At 35.9% G+C, this 18,437-nt stretch overlaps 2 long non-coding RNA genes across 10 annotated transcripts in view; one reads left to right on the top strand and one right to left on the bottom strand.

Moving 5' to 3' along the window:
* The window catches only part of LOC107984685 (uncharacterized), a 216,619-nt gene that overhangs the window by 143,643 nt on the left and 54,539 nt on the right, over window positions 1–18,437 (bottom strand). For 5 of the 8 annotated variants that reach the window (XR_007064101.1, XR_001750697.1, XR_001750694.2 and 2 more), the window contains one exon: window positions 6,575–6,764. The exons of 2 other annotated variants lie outside the window; for them this stretch is intronic. This is a non-coding gene — a long non-coding RNA (uncharacterized LOC107984685). Of the gene's footprint in view, window positions 1–6,574; window positions 6,765–8,797; window positions 9,087–18,437 lie in introns of those variants that run through there. One more of the 8 variants, XR_007064100.1, reaches the window with a different exon arrangement.
* The window catches only part of LINC02326 (long intergenic non-protein coding RNA 2326), an 89,407-nt gene that overhangs the window by 20,791 nt on the left and 50,179 nt on the right, over window positions 1–18,437 (top strand). The window contains exons 3-4 of one of the 2 annotated variants that reach the window (NR_184205.1): window positions 11,488–11,529; window positions 14,767–14,825. The exons of the other annotated variant lie outside the window; for it this stretch is intronic. This is a non-coding gene — a long non-coding RNA (long intergenic non-protein coding RNA 2326). The remainder of the gene's footprint in view (window positions 1–11,487; window positions 11,530–14,766; window positions 14,826–18,437) is intronic. 2 annotated transcript variants of the gene reach the window in all.

The following is an 18,437-nucleotide window of genomic DNA, read 5'->3' as shown; positions in this document are numbered from 1 at the left end:
GCACAGGGATGCCTTTAAATAGACACTTTCAATTACTAAAGAGTCACATGACCCCATTTGATCTTTTTCAGTGCTATTAAGGTAAGAAAAAAAGGAAATGAATCCACAAAATGTTAAATTGAATGTTTAAAATTAACTTTTGCTATATTTTACTTTGAAATACCTGCATGTGTACTTTTTAAAAATGTCTAAATGATGTGTCATGTTATGTTGAGTGTCCTCTTTCAAAATAAATCCTGCCCCTCAAGGATATCTATATCCAAAGATACTATGCCGTAATGTAGACTATAATAGCCCTTCTGTGCTAAGAAGAACAGGGATAGAAATAGATACTGTATGACTAAATGCTGATTGACAGCTCCATCACAGGCTTGGTGCTTCTTTAGCTAAGCTGCAATAAAGAGACTTCATATCATACCATTCAACAGATAATAAAATAGCATAAACAGATGTAACCTTATGGAGAAAAAAATTCTACTTGATTATAATGATAAAAAATTGAATCTTTTTAAGTATCTTACGTAGAGATCACAAAACTAAGTGTCGATTCACAAGAATAATTTTCCTCTCAATTATCCTTTAAGCATTATCTCAAATAGAAAATACCACAGTATCTGGGTATATAGGAAGGCAAAATATTTTCTTAATATATCAGTTTTTAAAAATGTAAACACTGATTGAAATGTCCCTGTGTTACAGGTTGGAAACAGCTTAAAAGATTCTACAAAATGTAATTTCACTTTCAAATCTTTCAAAGTTTACCACATTAGTGTATTTTTGGCACAAAAAAAAACCCTGAAGAATTCTTGTCATCAAAAGTTTTATAAGAAATAAGTAGTATGTTTTCAAAACCAAAGACCTTTACTACGCACAGAATCGCGCATGACAATGAATGGCATCATTTATTGGTAACATAGACTCATGCAGATGTACCCCTGGAATAATGGATACCTCCAAACCTGTGGCAATAACTTATATAAAAATTAATGAAGTAAACAATAATAATTTAAGCCCCTACTATTGATTATATTTAGTAATTTTTTCACATATACAATATATACTTTTAAAATTATACCCCTTTGATTTATTTTCTATGATTTCTCCAAGTAACAACATCTTTAACATCTTCAAGAGCTACTATTGGGTCAGTTTTGACCCAACCTACATGAGCTATATAAATCACCTTCCATCCAATCTGATGATAAATGTTGTGGTAAACAAGTGTGATTATGTCTATTTCTGATTGATTCAGTTTCACTGAGATGGCAATACTCTTCAATGTTCTTAATGTTAATATTGAATATATTTTTAAAATGTAAGTTAACAAGTTCTATATTAAAATTCCTACCTGTTCTGATCCACATGAGGGAACTGGATTGAGATACTTTCAATGATAGAGCATAAGAGAGTGTAATTAATGGCAGCCATACAGAATCTTTGGGACATATAGAGTTTCTGAATCTCTGAATTCAGCAATGCCGTCAGTGTTTTGGCTGGCAGCCTATAACCCCCTTTTAACCTGAGCCCAGCTTACTCAGCAAGCTATGGTAAGTGACTGCTGAGCTGTTACTTTCTTATTTCAAAATACACCTCCGGTTGAGAGAGGGACATGCTCTTTTACATATGGTATGGGATTTTGTTTGGGAATTCAATTTTTTGTTATGAGTTTTTAAAGAAATGTGCAGCAATGGCAATGTGGAAAAAAAACACACACAGAACCTTTGGAAAGGAAAGGGCGGGGGGGTTAACTCACAGAAACTGAAATGCACTACTTGTTTTGGGCAGGCACAGAGAAGTTGAGGAACACTGTGTAGGTGGGCCCAAAAAATCTATCATCTAGGACTGGGACTAGAGAGTTCAGAGCTAAAGTCTTTCTGTCCTGCCTGAAATGCCACTACCACTCATGCTAAACAGGGCAGTTTTATTCTACTCTCCCATACATTTAATAGTCAAAGAAATATTATCATCGGGTTGGTGCAGAAAGCCAGAGATTATACTAGTTATGTGTGTGACAGAGGGTGTATAAGGAGAAGTGATGAGAAAATGATGTCAAAAGTGATTAGCTATCTTCTAAAGAGTGATGATTGCAATGTCAACAAAATTCTCATCCTGAGAAACAGCTATACCTCCATACCTAATTACAAAACTGAGTCAAGTAGAACAATCAAGTAATATACCTTTATTCATTTATTCATCCATTCATGTATTCATCCTACAAATGTTTATTGAGAACAACCTGTGTTCAAGATATATTCCTAGCACTGCAGCTATAATCTTGAATGAGATGAGGACCTTGCCTTCATGAAGCTGATATTCAGGTGATATACAATAAATAAGTAAACAAATAAATACACAATATATTTCAAGAAGTGATAAGATTAGAAAGAAATATGAAGGAGGAAAGGGGGCAGATGTTGATAACATGTGTTGGGGGAGGTGGGCACTCTTTCCTATTGGGTGATATGTAAAGGCCAACCTGAGGAAGTGAAATCTGAAGAGAAACATAAAGGAAGTTAGGTGGTGAACCTTGTGAAGATCTTAGAAAGAATTTTCCAGAAAAAGAATGGCAAATATAAAGGACTTGAAGTAGAAATAAGCTTATTTTCTGGCATTAAAGCAAAAAAGGTCACTGTTGCTAGTCAGAGAATGAAAGGAAGACATGGTAGAAATTAAGCAAGTGCTAGATCATACTAGGTTTCACAAGCTGTGGTAATGACTTTGACTTTTGTACTGAATGTGATGGAAAACCATTAGAGATTTCTCTGTAGAGGAGAGATATGAACTGGTTTAAAATTTTAAACCAAGGATTCTGATCTGACCAAATAGAAGGCTGAATAGTGACATCATTTGCTGAGGTGAGGAAAACCAGAAAGGAACAGGCAGAAAGGAGAAAGAAGGTAAGAAAAAATAATTCCAATTTAAACATGTTGAGTTTTTGATGTGCAATAAACAACAGAAAAGGAATATTGAGTAAGTAGTTGAAAATAAAAACGTAGAGCTCAGGGGAGAAGTCTGTACTGGTGGAAAAGATTTAGAGGTCATCAGCATTTAGATGACATATTTAAGATTATGGGATTAGAAGATATTACATAGGGACTGGCTGTAACGGAAAATAGAACTGAGCTAAGACTAGCATAAAGAAGAGGAGCCCACACAGGAAATGAAGTACAGAGGAGAAATAGGAAAACAAGCAGCGTAGTGGTCATAAGCTAAGTAAAAAGAGTATGTCCACAATGAGGTAGTACTCTATCACATTCTGTGGAGAGATCAAGTATGAAGAGGACTATTGGATTTGGCAAATGGTAGTTCAATAATGTCCTCTACAAGGATTCAGTAGAATAGTAGAGACAAAGCCTGACTGGAGAGGTTGAGGGGAAAATAAGTGAAGAAATGATAAAAGCAAGACATTTAATTGAGACTTGTTTCCTTATTAATAAAATGCATAATGATCCTAACAATTTGGAATTTCTTCTATCTAAACAATTTTCACATTTTTATTATGAGTTTGAACTCTTCGCATGTCATTTTCTCAAACCCTAAATTTCTAGTTCATTTCATTCCCTTCCACTGCAATTGTAAATGAGAGAGAAAAAGTTATTGAACATTTGTGATTTCTCCCCAGGAGTAATCTTTTCAATTTCACCACTCAGGTAACATCCTTACCTGCTAGATTATTTTAGGCTGTTTAGATTTTTTGCCATTAAAGGAAAATACCTTTATTTCCTAATGCTCAATATTTTATTAATAAATTATTCTCAGAAAACTAGTGCCTTGAGCTACATCTGTGGAAAAGTGTAATAATTAGTAGCATTGCAAAGAAACTTTAAAATATATCTAACATAGCCTGAGGGGAGTTGATAAGAGGCTTCTCATTTCTGATCCAAAATGGACAATGGTCTTCAACAGTTAAACATTTTAAACATAGCTCTCTAGAAGATATTTCTATCTTGGTACCATAAACATCCAAGTCAGTGAATTACTTATCATGGAAATAACAGAATGAAAGCCTCCTGCTTAGATTATTTCTTCCATCGAATGAGTATTAAACAACTAACAACTCTGGCCACCCAAGCCAATAGTACTAGGACTACTACTAATGTTACTAATAATAACAAAGAGTAGGTCAGGCTAGAGTGATCTTTTGGATAAGGTCTACCTTTCAACAGAGTGAAAACAGAATGGCTAAGCAATGCTTTACTCAAGTATCTGCCCACAGTTCATGTGGCCCCAGATCTGTCAACATTAAACCATTGTTCTTGTAAAGCAGATAGAATTATGCTGCTGGAAGACAGCCTGGTTGAAAATCAAGTTGTGTTTTATTGTACAATGGGTTATGTTCTGATTTGTTATGAAGATAACACATAAAAGTGATGTGATGGACCCATTTTTCCAAAAATAATGGTTTATCTCTGACTATAAACTATTATTTCCAAATGAATCAAGGCTTATTATCAGGCCAGCAACAAGCAGAATATGATTCTGAATTGTATTTGTCTTACTCTTTGTCTAATATTTTGGGATATCATGCCTCATTACAAATTCTAGTTGGTAATTTATTTCGAAAATTTTCTGAAAGGATTTTCTTTGCTAAGGAGAAATGACCTTTCTTGTCATTTCAAGTGATAACAACATATAGTTCATAAATAAAAGTAATTCAGAATGTGGTCATATGAAAAACCACATTTCTGTCCTTTCTGTCAGAGGTGTACATATTACGGGCTTTTCTCTTAGAGTTCAGGTTTAATAAATCAGTATTTTCTAATTAGCTGGTAGGCTGGCAGTCACACCCCATCTGCTCTTCCCCCAACTCATAACACACTCTGTCTATCTCTTCCAGCCACGCATCAAACTCCTGCTGTTCTCCATTTAGCATCAACTTCCTTTCTGCCCTGATCCTAACCCATGCTTCTTTGGAGCTGTCAGCTCTGGCTCTCTGTGACTCAGCACTGAATTTCATACCAGAGTAGGTTGAAATCCATTTCCAAACCATTAAATCTGTATTTGCTCAAGTCAAGAGTCACAACCTCACCTAAATCCTCTGTGTTTTCCTCTGGGTCTTGACCCCTTCCTCTGTGGAAATTGTCAGTCCTCCCTCTACAGTCACAATAAAATCCAAATAAGGGTTAAATCCTGACCCTACTTGCATTTGAAAACTTTTCTCACTCTAGATGCATATAGAGAAAGACTTGAAGCTACAAGGACTGAATCTGATAGAACATCTCTTTAGCTAGTCATGTGCAGAGATAGATTAAAGCTAAACACAGCTCAGATCAATCAAAAGTTCAGACCACTGGCAACCATTCTTTGACTCTAAGAAATTGGTGCAGCTTGCTAAAGGTGAAAAAAAATCTATGAATGGAGAAAGCTACCATTAAGAATTGTAAGAAAGATACCCAACAAATTGATATAACCATAGATTATGATATGATAATGCAAAGTACCTTCACATATGTTGGATAAGCTCTTTTTTGGCCATGAATACACAAGAAAAAATGTACGCTTGTTTGCTTTGTTTTTGAAAGCAAATAATATGCATAGTGCTTTAATCCAATCATATTCATGTATGATGTGTGCCATTGCACTTTTTGTTTGCTTGGCTATATTTTAGTGTTTAGTTAAATAGTGATATTTGACAGCAAAACAAAACTTTGGCACATGCTTGAAGTGGACTATGTAACTCAATTGCTGACATTTTGTATCTTATTTTTCCATAATGTCTTAAAAACAGGAGTGTGTTCTACTGCTGATAGCTCTTGTATGTAGTAAGTAATTACATGAAATTAAGGTCTAATTAGAAGACAGTATTGTCCTACGCTATTAGGAAATTTATCTCCCATTCCCTTCTAATCAGACTTTTTAATAAATTTTATAATTTCATTTTTAATTAAAAGTAATTATATATCTGTCCCGGATCGTATATAAAGCTCCTCTTCAAGATAATCTGCAATGTTATTTAACCACGGTTGTTTCTTTTTTCCAAAAAGAAAGAAATCTAAACTTCCAAACTATTTGGCTGCTCCCTCAAAGAGTATGTTTATACCAGCAGAATCTTTGAGTCCTCTTCACTTGCTGCTAGCTCTGATGTGGCAGATTGGGTCCAGATTCTGACTTAAATGTCTTGGGTAGGAAAACTCAGAAGGTGAATCTTCAGTGAGGCCTCCATATACTAAAAGCTGCTGCTTAACTGGCAGTAAATGGAGCCTGGCAGCAAAATTAGTGTCTGTAAAAAATGGATTTTAAAAATGTCTTGAACATGGGCATAAATTATGAACAAAGATTAAGTGCCACATGCTTACAAACCCTTGCTTTCCAAAGAATGTGATATGTATTTTCTGATTTTAAAATAAGAAATGTCTGTTTCAAATTCATTTTTTAATTTCCTTGTTCTTCAGTCAATAAATGTTCAATAATGTTGCTGCTCCATTACCAACACAGCCTGCTCATTTTCTGAGCTGGTAAACTCTAACCTTGGCTCAGTGCTCACTGTCTTTGACCCACCCCAACAGGGCCCAGAAATCTTACAAAATATACCCTACCAACTAGATACCAAGGAAATACCATTTGGGTTACATACCAATCAGGCAACAATCTGGTAGTCACTCTTCAGGCTTTGACAGATAGAAACATTTAGCTGTGATTGTGTATGATGTCATGTGGGTGAGTAAGGATTGTGTTGTGCTCATCAGTCTGTTTACATCAGGAGCTCATAAAGAAGAAAATCACTTCACTTTATGATGATGATTTTCTCTGACCTTTTCCAGCACCTGCAGAGAACAGATCATGCAGTAATCTGATCAAACACACTCCTTCACATGCACCCCCACACATGTACCACAATGTAAACTAAGTATTCAAGGAAAAATGCAACTACTCATAGGTGTATATTTAAATTATAAAGCTTTTTTTTTTTATTTTTGGAGTCCAAGGTGTCCTTGATTTTTCAGTAGTAGAAGTGCTTCTGTTTCTCATCTGAACTTGACCTTCTGGATTCATTCTAAATGCTACTTAGGCAGCAATCTAAATGATGGAGATTATAGATATTGATAAGTGGTGACTTTTTTTTATTCCAGAGGAAAAAAAAAACTAGAAGCCATATTTGTATTGGTAGGTTATTTTTATGATTATCCATCAAATAGATGGATCTTATCAAATATATCTACTAATACTTTTCTCTTTTATTATGTATAGAAAACCTGCACTTCATCAAATTACTTCTGCCAGTTTTCTATACATACAGTAAACGATTTCAGAAATTAACTCACTAGAACTCTTTGTTAAAATTTGTCATTTATCTATTAAAATTCTTCAGCTTTTGTCAGACAATGTACTTAGCTCTGTAATAAGAGTCCCTGAAGATATGTGTGTGATTTGTCAAAAGAGAGACAAAAAGTGTATAAAACTCTAAAATGTCAGCAATCAGGAGATTTAACAGACTTTAGTAAATTTACATAGAATGAATAGAAATCTTTGATATTAATAAACTTAGCTCCGGGGAGTACAAGAAAAGGAGCAAAGAATGTTAATTTGAATACCATTTCCACATCACTTCTTCCAAAACTAAAAATTAGTATGGATAAATGTGTGATAGAGTTTAAATAACATAACTGTAATTATTTATCACCACCCCAAAGTTTCAGAGTGGGAATGTTTTCTCTGAAGTAGACCAATAAAGTATATACATTTTATGTAGTTTATTTTCTTTAACACAAAGACTAATGTTAAATGAGACAAGGCATATAATGTATTATAAGAGTGTCTGGCAAAGAGTGAATTTTGCCTTTTTTCATAACCATTGAAATAGAAAGAGGAGAATCATGCCATCAGGGAGAAGAATATTTCCTGACTTTAGGAAGCCTGATCAATAGCCAGTAACACACAGCACAGCAACAACCCCAACAAATGATAGTATTTCTGAAGTAACACAGATATACAAACACATGACTTTCTTAAGACTCAGATGTTATGAGAGTAATCAATTGGAATGGAATAAGTAGGAGACGGTCCCTGGAGAAAGTAGATGTTAAGCTACATTTTGAAGGAGAGATTGGTGGACATAATAAGAACTAATATGTACACATATTGGCAAGACTGAGCCAATTGTGTGCAAGGAGAAGCCAATAATTTGATTTTACTGAATCAAAAAAAAATACGTTGTATTAGTTTGCTAGAGCCCCCATAATAAAATACCACAGACTGGGTGGCTTAAACAACAAAAAATGTATTTTTTCCACAGTTCTGGAGGCAGAAGTTCAAATTCAAGGTTTGGTTTCCTCTGAGGGCTCTCTCCTTGGTTTGTAGATGGCTGCCTCCTTGCTGTCTCCTCGCATGGTCCTTCTCTTGTGCGCCTGCATTCCTGTATCCCTCTCTCTCTGTCCGAATTTCCTCTTCTTACAAGGACACCAATCAGATTGTATTGATTCTCACCCTAATGGCCTCATTTTAACTTCATCACCTCCTTTAAGACCTTTATCTCCAAATACAGTCACATTCTAGGTACTGGGGTTTAGGGCTTCCACATCTGAAATTTTGGGGGACACAGTTCACCCAATAACATGTGTTCTGGATTGCTTATAACTTTAGGTGCTAAGATCTGGGCAATGCTCAGTAGCAATTAGAAGTGGGGTTCTTCTTGCTTATACATTTTTAGAATCAAGAAAACGTATCTATGGATATCAGGTAAAGGGAAGCACAACTGGAAGATCCTAAAGCTATAAATGATTTGATCGTGTCTCCTCCTTCCACTGCTAGAAGAGAATACTGCAAGACACAAAGAGGAATGGAAAGAAATTAGAGTTACCCCTTTATAGTTTCCATTCCAATCTCCTATTTCTCATTGACTGCCAAGAGCCTCTGAGCATAAAAATTTCCACATCTTTCAGTTATTTTTTTCTAACCGTTTCTTCCCATGATGCTTTGTCTTTCTGTTCCCTGCCAGAATGCCAAGCAGTATATTGCTGTGGAACAGTGGGCGTGTTGGTGTGTGTATGGGAGTGGGAGAGGTTCAGGCAGAATTCAGTAGGTGGAAAGAAGAAAGATCTTTTCTTTTTTTATTCCTTAACTTTTGCCGTGAGCTGATATCACATGAGAAAATGTATTAGCTAATAAAACAAACATGCCAACATATTTTCCCATTGAAATGATTTTCTGGTTGGAAAAGACAAAGTACAAGAAAAGGAAAAAAATGAGTAATGTTCATAAAACTTATTTTAGCGTTCAAAAATGTATATTGGTGCCATTTTTTAAAATAAATCTTCCATTGGACTGAAATTGTTCATTATAAAGGCTTCCTCTGTTATAAAACTAATTTGTTGTTTTTTAGAAGTGGTTGAACAGTAGCTATAACAACAGCAAATCCAGAGTTTACTATGTGCCAGGCATTGAAATAAACATTTTACAAATACTGTTTTGTTCTTGCAGCAACACTGTTAGGTAGATAAAACTATTATGTCTGTTTTATAGATGAAGAAACTCAGCCACAGAGAGGTTAATTGATTGCCCAGAAACAGTAACTGACAGAGCCAGTAACTTTATTCAGGTGGTGTGATTTTAGGGCCCAGAATTTTAACTATAACTTTACACATCTTTAATAAGAAGACTCATGTTCCTGTGACCAGTATTCATGACAAATGGTAATTCTAATTAAAAAAAAAAAAAAAACAGGTTTACTCTACCATTAACAGAGAGAGGCTTTTTTTTCTCAGAAAGGAAAATATTTTAACTGAAAAACCAGTACCATATGGCAAGGAAATACATGCCTCTGTATAAAAGCCTCACCCTCTAATGCTCTTTACTGATGTTCTGTTTGGATATTTGCTGATGATTTTTGTATGTCCTATTTGCCCTAATACATTGTGGATCTTTATAAAGCAACCAGCACATAAAATATCCTTGCCTAGATATTTTAAGTCTAGGATTTTATAATTGTAAAGCTAATTTCCATAATAGATTCAAAAGATTTTTAAAATGAAATTTCTGTCTTCCCATAATTATGTAACTCACCAAAGCATTTTTATGTGTGTCCTTAAAAATGTTAACAGTCTGAATGTTCAAGTTGTTGCTTCACTAACCAATATAGCTAATATAAAAATATATATGGCACAAAGATTGACCTTATTCTTCTGCTCAGAGAAGCTTCTGTGATGGCTAAGACTCTAGCCAGTATTGAAATAAAGAAGATTGAAATACGAATTATGTCTTGTCTTTGCTGGGTTGGAGCGATCTATGAGAATATTCCAGAAGGTTCACTAGCCAGTTTTGACAGAGTCTGTTGGTTCTCCATGTATTCCTTTACATTTCCTAGCTTCCCCTGCAGTTAGGTTGAAACTATGTGACATGTTTTAGACACTAGACTATGAGCAGAAGAGTCACTTCTGGTTTCAGAGACGTGTTGCCTCCATTTCTCCCTGCCTCTCCTCCAGTGGTTTTACAGTCTCTCTGTTCCAGACCAGGACTACAAGATAATAGGGCCCTCTGTGCACCATTGCTAGCTCTTATTAGACATGTAAGGTTGGATGTGGTAAGGCACCGAGATATTGGGGTTGATTTGTTACAACATAACTTAGCCATGCTTAATGAAAATGAAGATGAATTTCACTTAGACAAATGTGGAAGATAGGGGTGGTGTAAGAATTTATTATACATTCAGATAAGCAAACTCAGTGGACTTCCTGTGTATATTTCCCACATCTAAAATCACATCCTTTAAATAACCAAAAAAGTACACTTAAAAAAAATCCTTTTCTGTTTCCTTTTCAACCCAAATAATTAACATCTTGGAATAGATGTTATGAAATATATAGATAATTACAGGTACAAACATGAAGAAAAATTCAAGAGGAAAACTTCTTGGAACAAGAAAAATTTCAGTAAAACTCATGTAACTTTGACTACCTGTGCCTAGTGAAACTGCCACATTTGTCTAATTTTAAATTCATCCTATGACCAATCATTGTGCTCAAGAGTTACCTTCACTTCAGTGGATGCTGTGGCACAATAGATAAATCCCTTCTTTAAAACTAAGGTGCTCACTCCTCCAGCTGCAGGAGAGTTGCTGCTGAGAGCTCACAGCTGAGTCTCTCCCCAGGATTTGCCCTCGACTGAAGAGAGCTGCCTGTTCAAAGTCTGCCCCTTCCCTGGGATAGCCTACTCCCAAAGACTTGTGGGCATGGTGGGTACAAAGGCCTTGCCTCTTTTTGCCTCTGTTTGGAACATCTTTGAACTGCTATCCCCATCAGATGTGTTGGGGCCTCTGTTACACCTTTACTACATTTTAACTCTTCCCTTGGCAAACTCTATTTTCCTTTCTACCTAGTATATGTTATTCCCAAGAGCTCTCCCCAGTAATCCTCCTGCAGATAGATCTCTGTTCTGAGTCTTTTTCCTGAGGAACTCAACTTATGCTATCTGTAAGGCACATAACAGAATTGCAGCTTACAATGAAAGGGTAGTTTGTGCATAAAGAGAATCTGAATCTTTTTCTTTTTTTAGGTATCTAAAGTAAATGGCCTTATGTATAATCCTGAATTATAAGTGAGTATTTTAATATAATTTTTACTTTGAAATAATTTTAGCTTTCCAGAGAAATTGCAAAATATTACAAAGAGTTCCTGTATATTTTAACCCACTTTTCCCAAATGTTAACACCTTACATTACCATAGTATAGTTGCCAAAACTAAGAAATGAACCTTGATGCATAACTATTAACTAACCACCAGATTTCATTCAAATTTCACCACTTTTTCCATTAATTGCCTCTTTCTGTTCCAGGATACATTCAGGATACAATATCACATAGAGACAATAGTCATTTTTGATTGGCAAAGTTAATGAAACAATTATATGCACATATGCCTGTATATATACAAATGACTTTAATGGCTAACAATATAAGAAATACTTTTTTAAATCTATATTTGTATAGCATACCAGTCTAATACTAATTAGCTGTTTGACTTTATGCATAGTTCTTCATTTCTCTGGGCCTCAGTTGACACATATATAAATAAGCAGGGTTAAATTTGATATCTTCTGTTCTTTCCATTTTTACATTCTGTGCTTCAATGCTGTTAAAGATGACGTGAAATTTTGTAGAACATTTAGCAGGAAAGAACATTTTCCTATTAAAAATTACAATTAAAACTGAAGATTTCTAATTAATGTAAATAAAGTGGGCATACCTCCATAAACTTGGTGGGATAAAAATTGATATAATTTTTATCATTAATTTGAATTTTTTAAAATGCCAGATAGTTCCCTTGAGCAACCAAAAAAATAAATAAATAAAAAACAAAAGATTGAGATAGAACAAGAAAAAGGTACACAGATGAAAAGATGAGAAAGCATTTGGAGTAATTCTTAGGAAAGTTTAGTGCAGAAGGAGAAGGCTCTTAAAGGTTCATAACTCATTAGTTAAGTATATTAATGTAGGGTTGGCAAAGAAATGGCCTGGACTGATAATGCTGGTGATTAGAAAACCTCAGAAGATGCCACATTCTGACCAACATTTAATTATTTTTTGTAAATAGAAAGCTAGTTCAATAGGTCAAAATGAGAATGGTTATTATTCTGCAGAAGAACATCAATTTCTTAAAAATAAATTATGTTAATTTCTAGGCTTGTTGTTGCAAATGAAGAAAAAACTATATAAAGAAGTACAGTACATGCTTTAATTCAAATCCTTTCCATTACAAGACTCATTTAATAAAACTCTACTTGTGACAGTCACTTGTAATTTGTAAATAAACATTAACTTAAATATGAACACTAAGTGATAGTGTGTATCTCGCTTGCAAAAGAAAAGCTGTAATATAAAGAGTGATTACTTATTTAAATATATTCTAAAATTATTGATGAAATTTTAAGTATTCATCTGAATCAATTTATTTACAAAAATAATGTGGTAAATTTCATGATTAATACAATTACAATAGGGTTCAGAGTTTAATTTCTAGCAATGAGCGTGTTTGTTTTCCTAATTTCTACAGAGCATTTTTAATATTGGTACTCTTGCATAATGGAAACCTTCTGGAAATTTGTATTTTATCCAAACACCTGTATGTGCAAATCATTAATTTGTAAGGAGCTGAATCATTTGGATGATGCAACTCTGCTGAAAGCTTTCTGTCATATGGAAATGGGCATGATATTCATGAATGCGTTAGAATTTGATTTCTTTTTAAGAATGATATTTATGTATACTAGCTAACCAATGGAAACTACAAACATATATCTCTATCCTATCCAGGAAGTGCTATTTAATCATCTTGCCTTTCAAAAGTTTATGTAAACATGAAGAAAATAATTCAAACCTGGGTCTTCCTTCTTTTCTGAAGAAGGTCAATTTTATATTTACTTCATGCCTGGCAGATGGACTGCACATGTGCATGCATTGGAAGAGATGAACTCTGATGAGGATGGGGGCTCAACAGCCTTTCAGATGTAGTTATAAGATCATCTTGAGATCTGGGTATTTTCAACAAGGAAGAGAAATGTGATTTTTAAGTTATGGCCATAGCTTTTCCTGGTAGATGGTTCAATTTTTTTCTGGAATTATCTGCAGGTCATTGCAAAAGAATCAGGCTTGTGGCTACTTCTCTGACAGAGCCAAACTCTCCAATTCAATTATTCTGAGCAAAACAAACAAGGAGGGGGACCCTCTTACGGATTAAAGACCTCTTTGTGATATGACTGGCCCAATTCAATTGCCTAAGCATCACGTAGAAACAATAGTTCAATACTTCAAAGGGTAGGTGACATTCAAATCTTTCTTATTTGGCTTTGTAATCCATGATATTGTTATTTTCCCAACACATTTGCTTTCCTAATTGTGTTTTGCTTGGATTGGTATTAAAAGAGTTTGTCTTCCCTGAGCACACACCAGCTGGGTAGTGGGAGGAAAGGGCCTCAAAGCTAACCAGGCAGTGGGGCAATACAGCTCTAAGATTCAAAATTAGTCATGAATATTCGCAAAGCAGATAATCTCCTGTAGATAAACAAAACGTACTGGAATCATCCCAGGACCATCTTATCTCTTGTTCTAATTCTTAGACTACTAAATTTTTCTTTACTTTTTTTTGGTACTGAGTAACAGGTACATTAAGACATTTCATGTCAGGGTTTTTAATTGAAATTGATAGCTCTTTGAAAACAAAAAAAAATGTATTTTTATTCTTGGTTATGTTTCCTTTTCATTTGAAAGATCGCTTATATGTATGTGAGAATAGCTAATAATACATGAGATTAATGTTTCCAGGGCCTAACACCTTGTGGATATTGGATTCTCATCTAATTTGTCATTCAACTAGGTAACAATCGTTTTGCCCCTCTGTACTTCAGTTTCTTCTCCCCGGATTGTAGATACAAATAACAAAACCTTTAAAAGACATTGTGAGGATTAATAAAATAACAGATGTCTGATACCAATAAGTAAAAGGTTTTACAAGTGTTTTGACTTTATTCTTTTCTTTGCATAGTACCGTTGCCATGGATCAGCCTTATTTAGGACGCCAAAAAAATTGTTGCTATAATGATTATTTTATATTCACCGAACAATAGTAATATTCTTGGCATAACACAGTACAATAAGGAAAATGAATTTCTTGTCCTGGGGAGGATGCAGAGGTAGTGAACTACAGGAATAACAGAGGAACCTCAGAAACATGCAGTACTGTTCAGTAGTCAGTTACTCCTAAAACAAAACAAAACCAAAATAGTGATGATTGCTTTTCTCTTCCTTTTAAAAATTCTTTATTGTGATTCCCTGCAAGATGGCTGAAGAGGAACAGCCCCAGTCTGCAGCGCCCAGGGAGACCAACGCAGAAGGCAGGTAATTTCTACATTTCCAATTGTGTGGTGCCTGGAACGCAAGTGAGACAGAACCACTCACTCCCCTGGAAAGGGGGCTGAAGCCAGGTAGCCAAGTGGTCTTGTTAAGCAGATTCCAACCCCACAGAGCCAAGCAAGCTAAGATCCACTGACTTGAAATTCTCGCTGCCAGCACAACAGTCTGAAGTTGACCTGGGACATTGGAGCTTGATGGGGGGAGGGGCGTCTGCCATTACTGAGGCTTGAGTAAGCGGTTTTTCCCTCACAATGTAAACAAAGCCTCCAGGAACTTTGGACTGGAGGGAGCCCATTGCAGCGCAGCAAAGCCAAATTAGGCAGACTCTCTCTAGATTCCTCCTCTCTGGGTAGGGCATCTCTGAAAGAAAGGCAGCAGTCCCAGTTAGGAGGTTATAGATAAAACTCCCATCATCTCCCTGGGACCTGGGGGAAGGGGCTGCTGTGGGCACAGCTTCAGTGGACTTAAATATTCCTGCCTGCTGGCTCTGAAGACAGAAGCAGATCTTCCAGCACAACATTTAAGCTCTGCTAAGGGACAGACTGCCTCCTCAAGTGGGTCCCTGACCCCTGAGCCTCCTGAAAGGGAGACACCTCCCAGCAGGGGTCAACAGACAACTCATACAGGAGAGCTCTGGTTGGCATCTTGCAGGTGCCCCTCTGGGACGAAGCTTCCAGAGGAAGGAGCAGGCAGCAATCTTTGCTGTTCTACAGTGTCCGCTGGTGATACTCAGGCAAACAGGATCTAGAGTGGACCCCCAGCAAACTCCAGCACACCTGCAGAAGAGGGGCCTGAATGTTAGAAGGGAAACTAACAAACAGAAAGCAATAGAATCAACTTTAAAAAAAATGACCAAGCAAAAACTTCATCCAAAGGTCACCAACAGCAAAGACCAAAGGTAAATAAATCCAAGGAAGATGAGGAAAAACCAGTGCAAAAAGGCTGAAAATGCCAAAACCCAGAATGCCTCTTCTCCTGCAAAGGATCACAGCTCCTCGCCAGCAAGGGACAAAACTGGTTGGAGAATGAGTTTGACAAATTGACAGAAGTAGGCTTTATTTAGAAGATGGGTAATAAACTCCTCTGAGCTAAAGGAGCAAGTTCTAACCAAATGCAAGGAAGCTAAGAACCTTGATAAAAGGTTAGAGGAATTGCTAACAAGAGTAACCAGTTTACAGAAGAGCCTAAATTACCTGATGGAGCTGAAAAACACAGGAGGAGAACTTTGTGAAGCATACACAAGTATCAATAGCCGAATAGATCAAGTGGAAAAAGGACATCAGAGATTGAAGATCAACTTAATGAAATCAAGCATGAAGACAAGATTAGAGAAAAAAGAATGAAAAGGAACAAACAAAGCCTCCAAGAAATAGGGGACTATGTGAAAAGACCAAACCTACATTTGATTGGTGTGCCTGAAAGTGATGGGGAGAATGGAACCAAGTTGGAAAACACTCTTCAGGAAATTACACAGCAGAACTTCCCCAACCTAGCAATACAGGTCAACATCCAAATTCAGGAAATAAAGAGAAGACCACAAAGATATTTTTTGAGAAGAGCAACCCCAAGACACATAATCATCAGATTCACCAAGGTTGAAATGAAGTAAAAAATGTTAAGGGCAGCCAGTAAGAAAGGTCGGGTTACCAACAAAGGGAAGCCAATCAAATGTTAGCAGCAATCTCTCTGAAGAAACCCTACTAGCCAGAAGAAAGTGGAGGCGAATATTCAACATTTTTAAAGAAAAGAATTTTCAACCCAGAATTTTATATCCAGCCAAACTAAGCTTTATAAGTGGAGGAGAAATAAAATCCTTTACAGAGAGGCAAATGCTGAGGGATTTTGTGACCACCAGACCTGTCTTATGAGAGCTCCTGAAGGAAGCCCTAAATATGGAAAGGAAAAACTGGTACCAGCCACTGCAAAAACAAATCAAAATGTAAAGACCATTGACACTATGAAGGAACTGCATCAACTAACGGGCAAAATAACCAGTGAACATCATAATGACAGGATCAAATTCACACATAACAATATTAAACTTAAATGTGAATGGGCTAAATGCCCAATTAAAAGACAGAGACTGGCAAATCAGATTAAACAGTCAAGACCCATAGGTGTGCTGTATTCAGGAGACCCATCTCATGTGTAAAGACACACATAGGCTAAAAATAAAGGGATGCAGGAATATTTACAAAGCAAATGGAAAGAAAAAAGGAAGGCAGGGGTTGCAATCCTACTCTCTGATAAAACAGACTTTAAAACAACAAAGATCAAAAAAGACAAAGAAGGGCATTACATAATGGTGAAGGGATCAATGCAACAAGAAGTGCTGACTGTTCTAAATATATATGCACCCAATACAGGAGCACCTAGATTCATAAAGCAAGTTCTTAGAGACCTACAAAGAGACTTAGGCTCCCACACAATAATAGTGGGAGACTTTAACACCCCACTGTCAATATTAGACAGATCAATGAGACAGAAAATTAACAAGGATATTCAGGTCTTGAACTCAGCTCTGGACTAAGCAGAACTAATAGACAACTACAGAACTCTCCACCCCAAATTAACATAAAATACATTCTTCTCAGTACCACATAGCACTTATTCTAAAATTGACCACATAATTGGAAGTAAAACACTCCTCAGCAAATGCGAAAGAACAGAAATCATAACAAACAATCTCTCAAATCACAGTGCAATCAAATTAGAACTCAGGATTAAGAAACTCACTCAAAACCCCACAACTACATGGAAATTGAACAACCTGCTCCTGCATGACTACTGGGTAAATAATGAAATTGAGGCAGAAAAAAAGTAACTTCTTCGCATCCAATGAAAACAAAGACACAACATACCAGAATCTCTGGGACACAGCTAAAACAGTGTTTAGAGGGAAATTTATAGCACTAACTGCCCACAAAAGAAAGTGGGAAATATATAAAATTGACACCCTAACATCACAATTAAAAGAACTAAAGAAGCAAGAGCAAACAAATTCAAAAGTTAGCAGAAGACAAGAAATAACTAAGATCAGAGCAGAATGGAAAGAGATAGAGACATGAAAGCCCTTCAAAAAATCAATGAATCCAGGAGCTGGTTTTTTGAAAAGATTAACAAGATAGACCACTAGCCAGATTAACAAAGAAGAAAAGAGAGAAGAATCAAATAGACACAGTAAGAAATGATAAAGGAGAGATCACCACTGAAACCACAGAACTACAAACTACCAGCAAATAATACTATAAATACCTCTACCCAAATAAACTAGAAAAACAGAAGAAATTGATAAATTTCTGGGCACATACAACCTCCCAAGAATAAATCAGGAGAGGTCGAATCCTTGAATAGACCAATAATGGGTTCTGAAATTGAGGAAGCCATTAATAGCCTACCAATAAAAAAAAAAAACCCAGGATGAGACAGATTCACAGCCAAATTCTACCACAGGTACAAAGAGGACCTGGTACCATTCCTTCTGAAACTTTCCAAAAATATATAAAAAGAAGGACTCCTCCCTAATTCATTTTATGAGGCCAGCATCATCTTGATACCAAAACCTGGCAAAGACACAACAAAAAAAGAAAATTTCAG

This window comes from Homo sapiens, chromosome 14, assembly GCF_000001405.40.
Source record: "Homo sapiens chromosome 14, GRCh38.p14 Primary Assembly".
Lineage (NCBI taxonomy): Eukaryota > Metazoa > Chordata > Mammalia > Primates > Hominidae > Homo > Homo sapiens.
The sequence above is the reverse complement of the archived record's forward strand: the minus strand, read 5'-3'. Positions and strand labels throughout refer to the sequence as shown.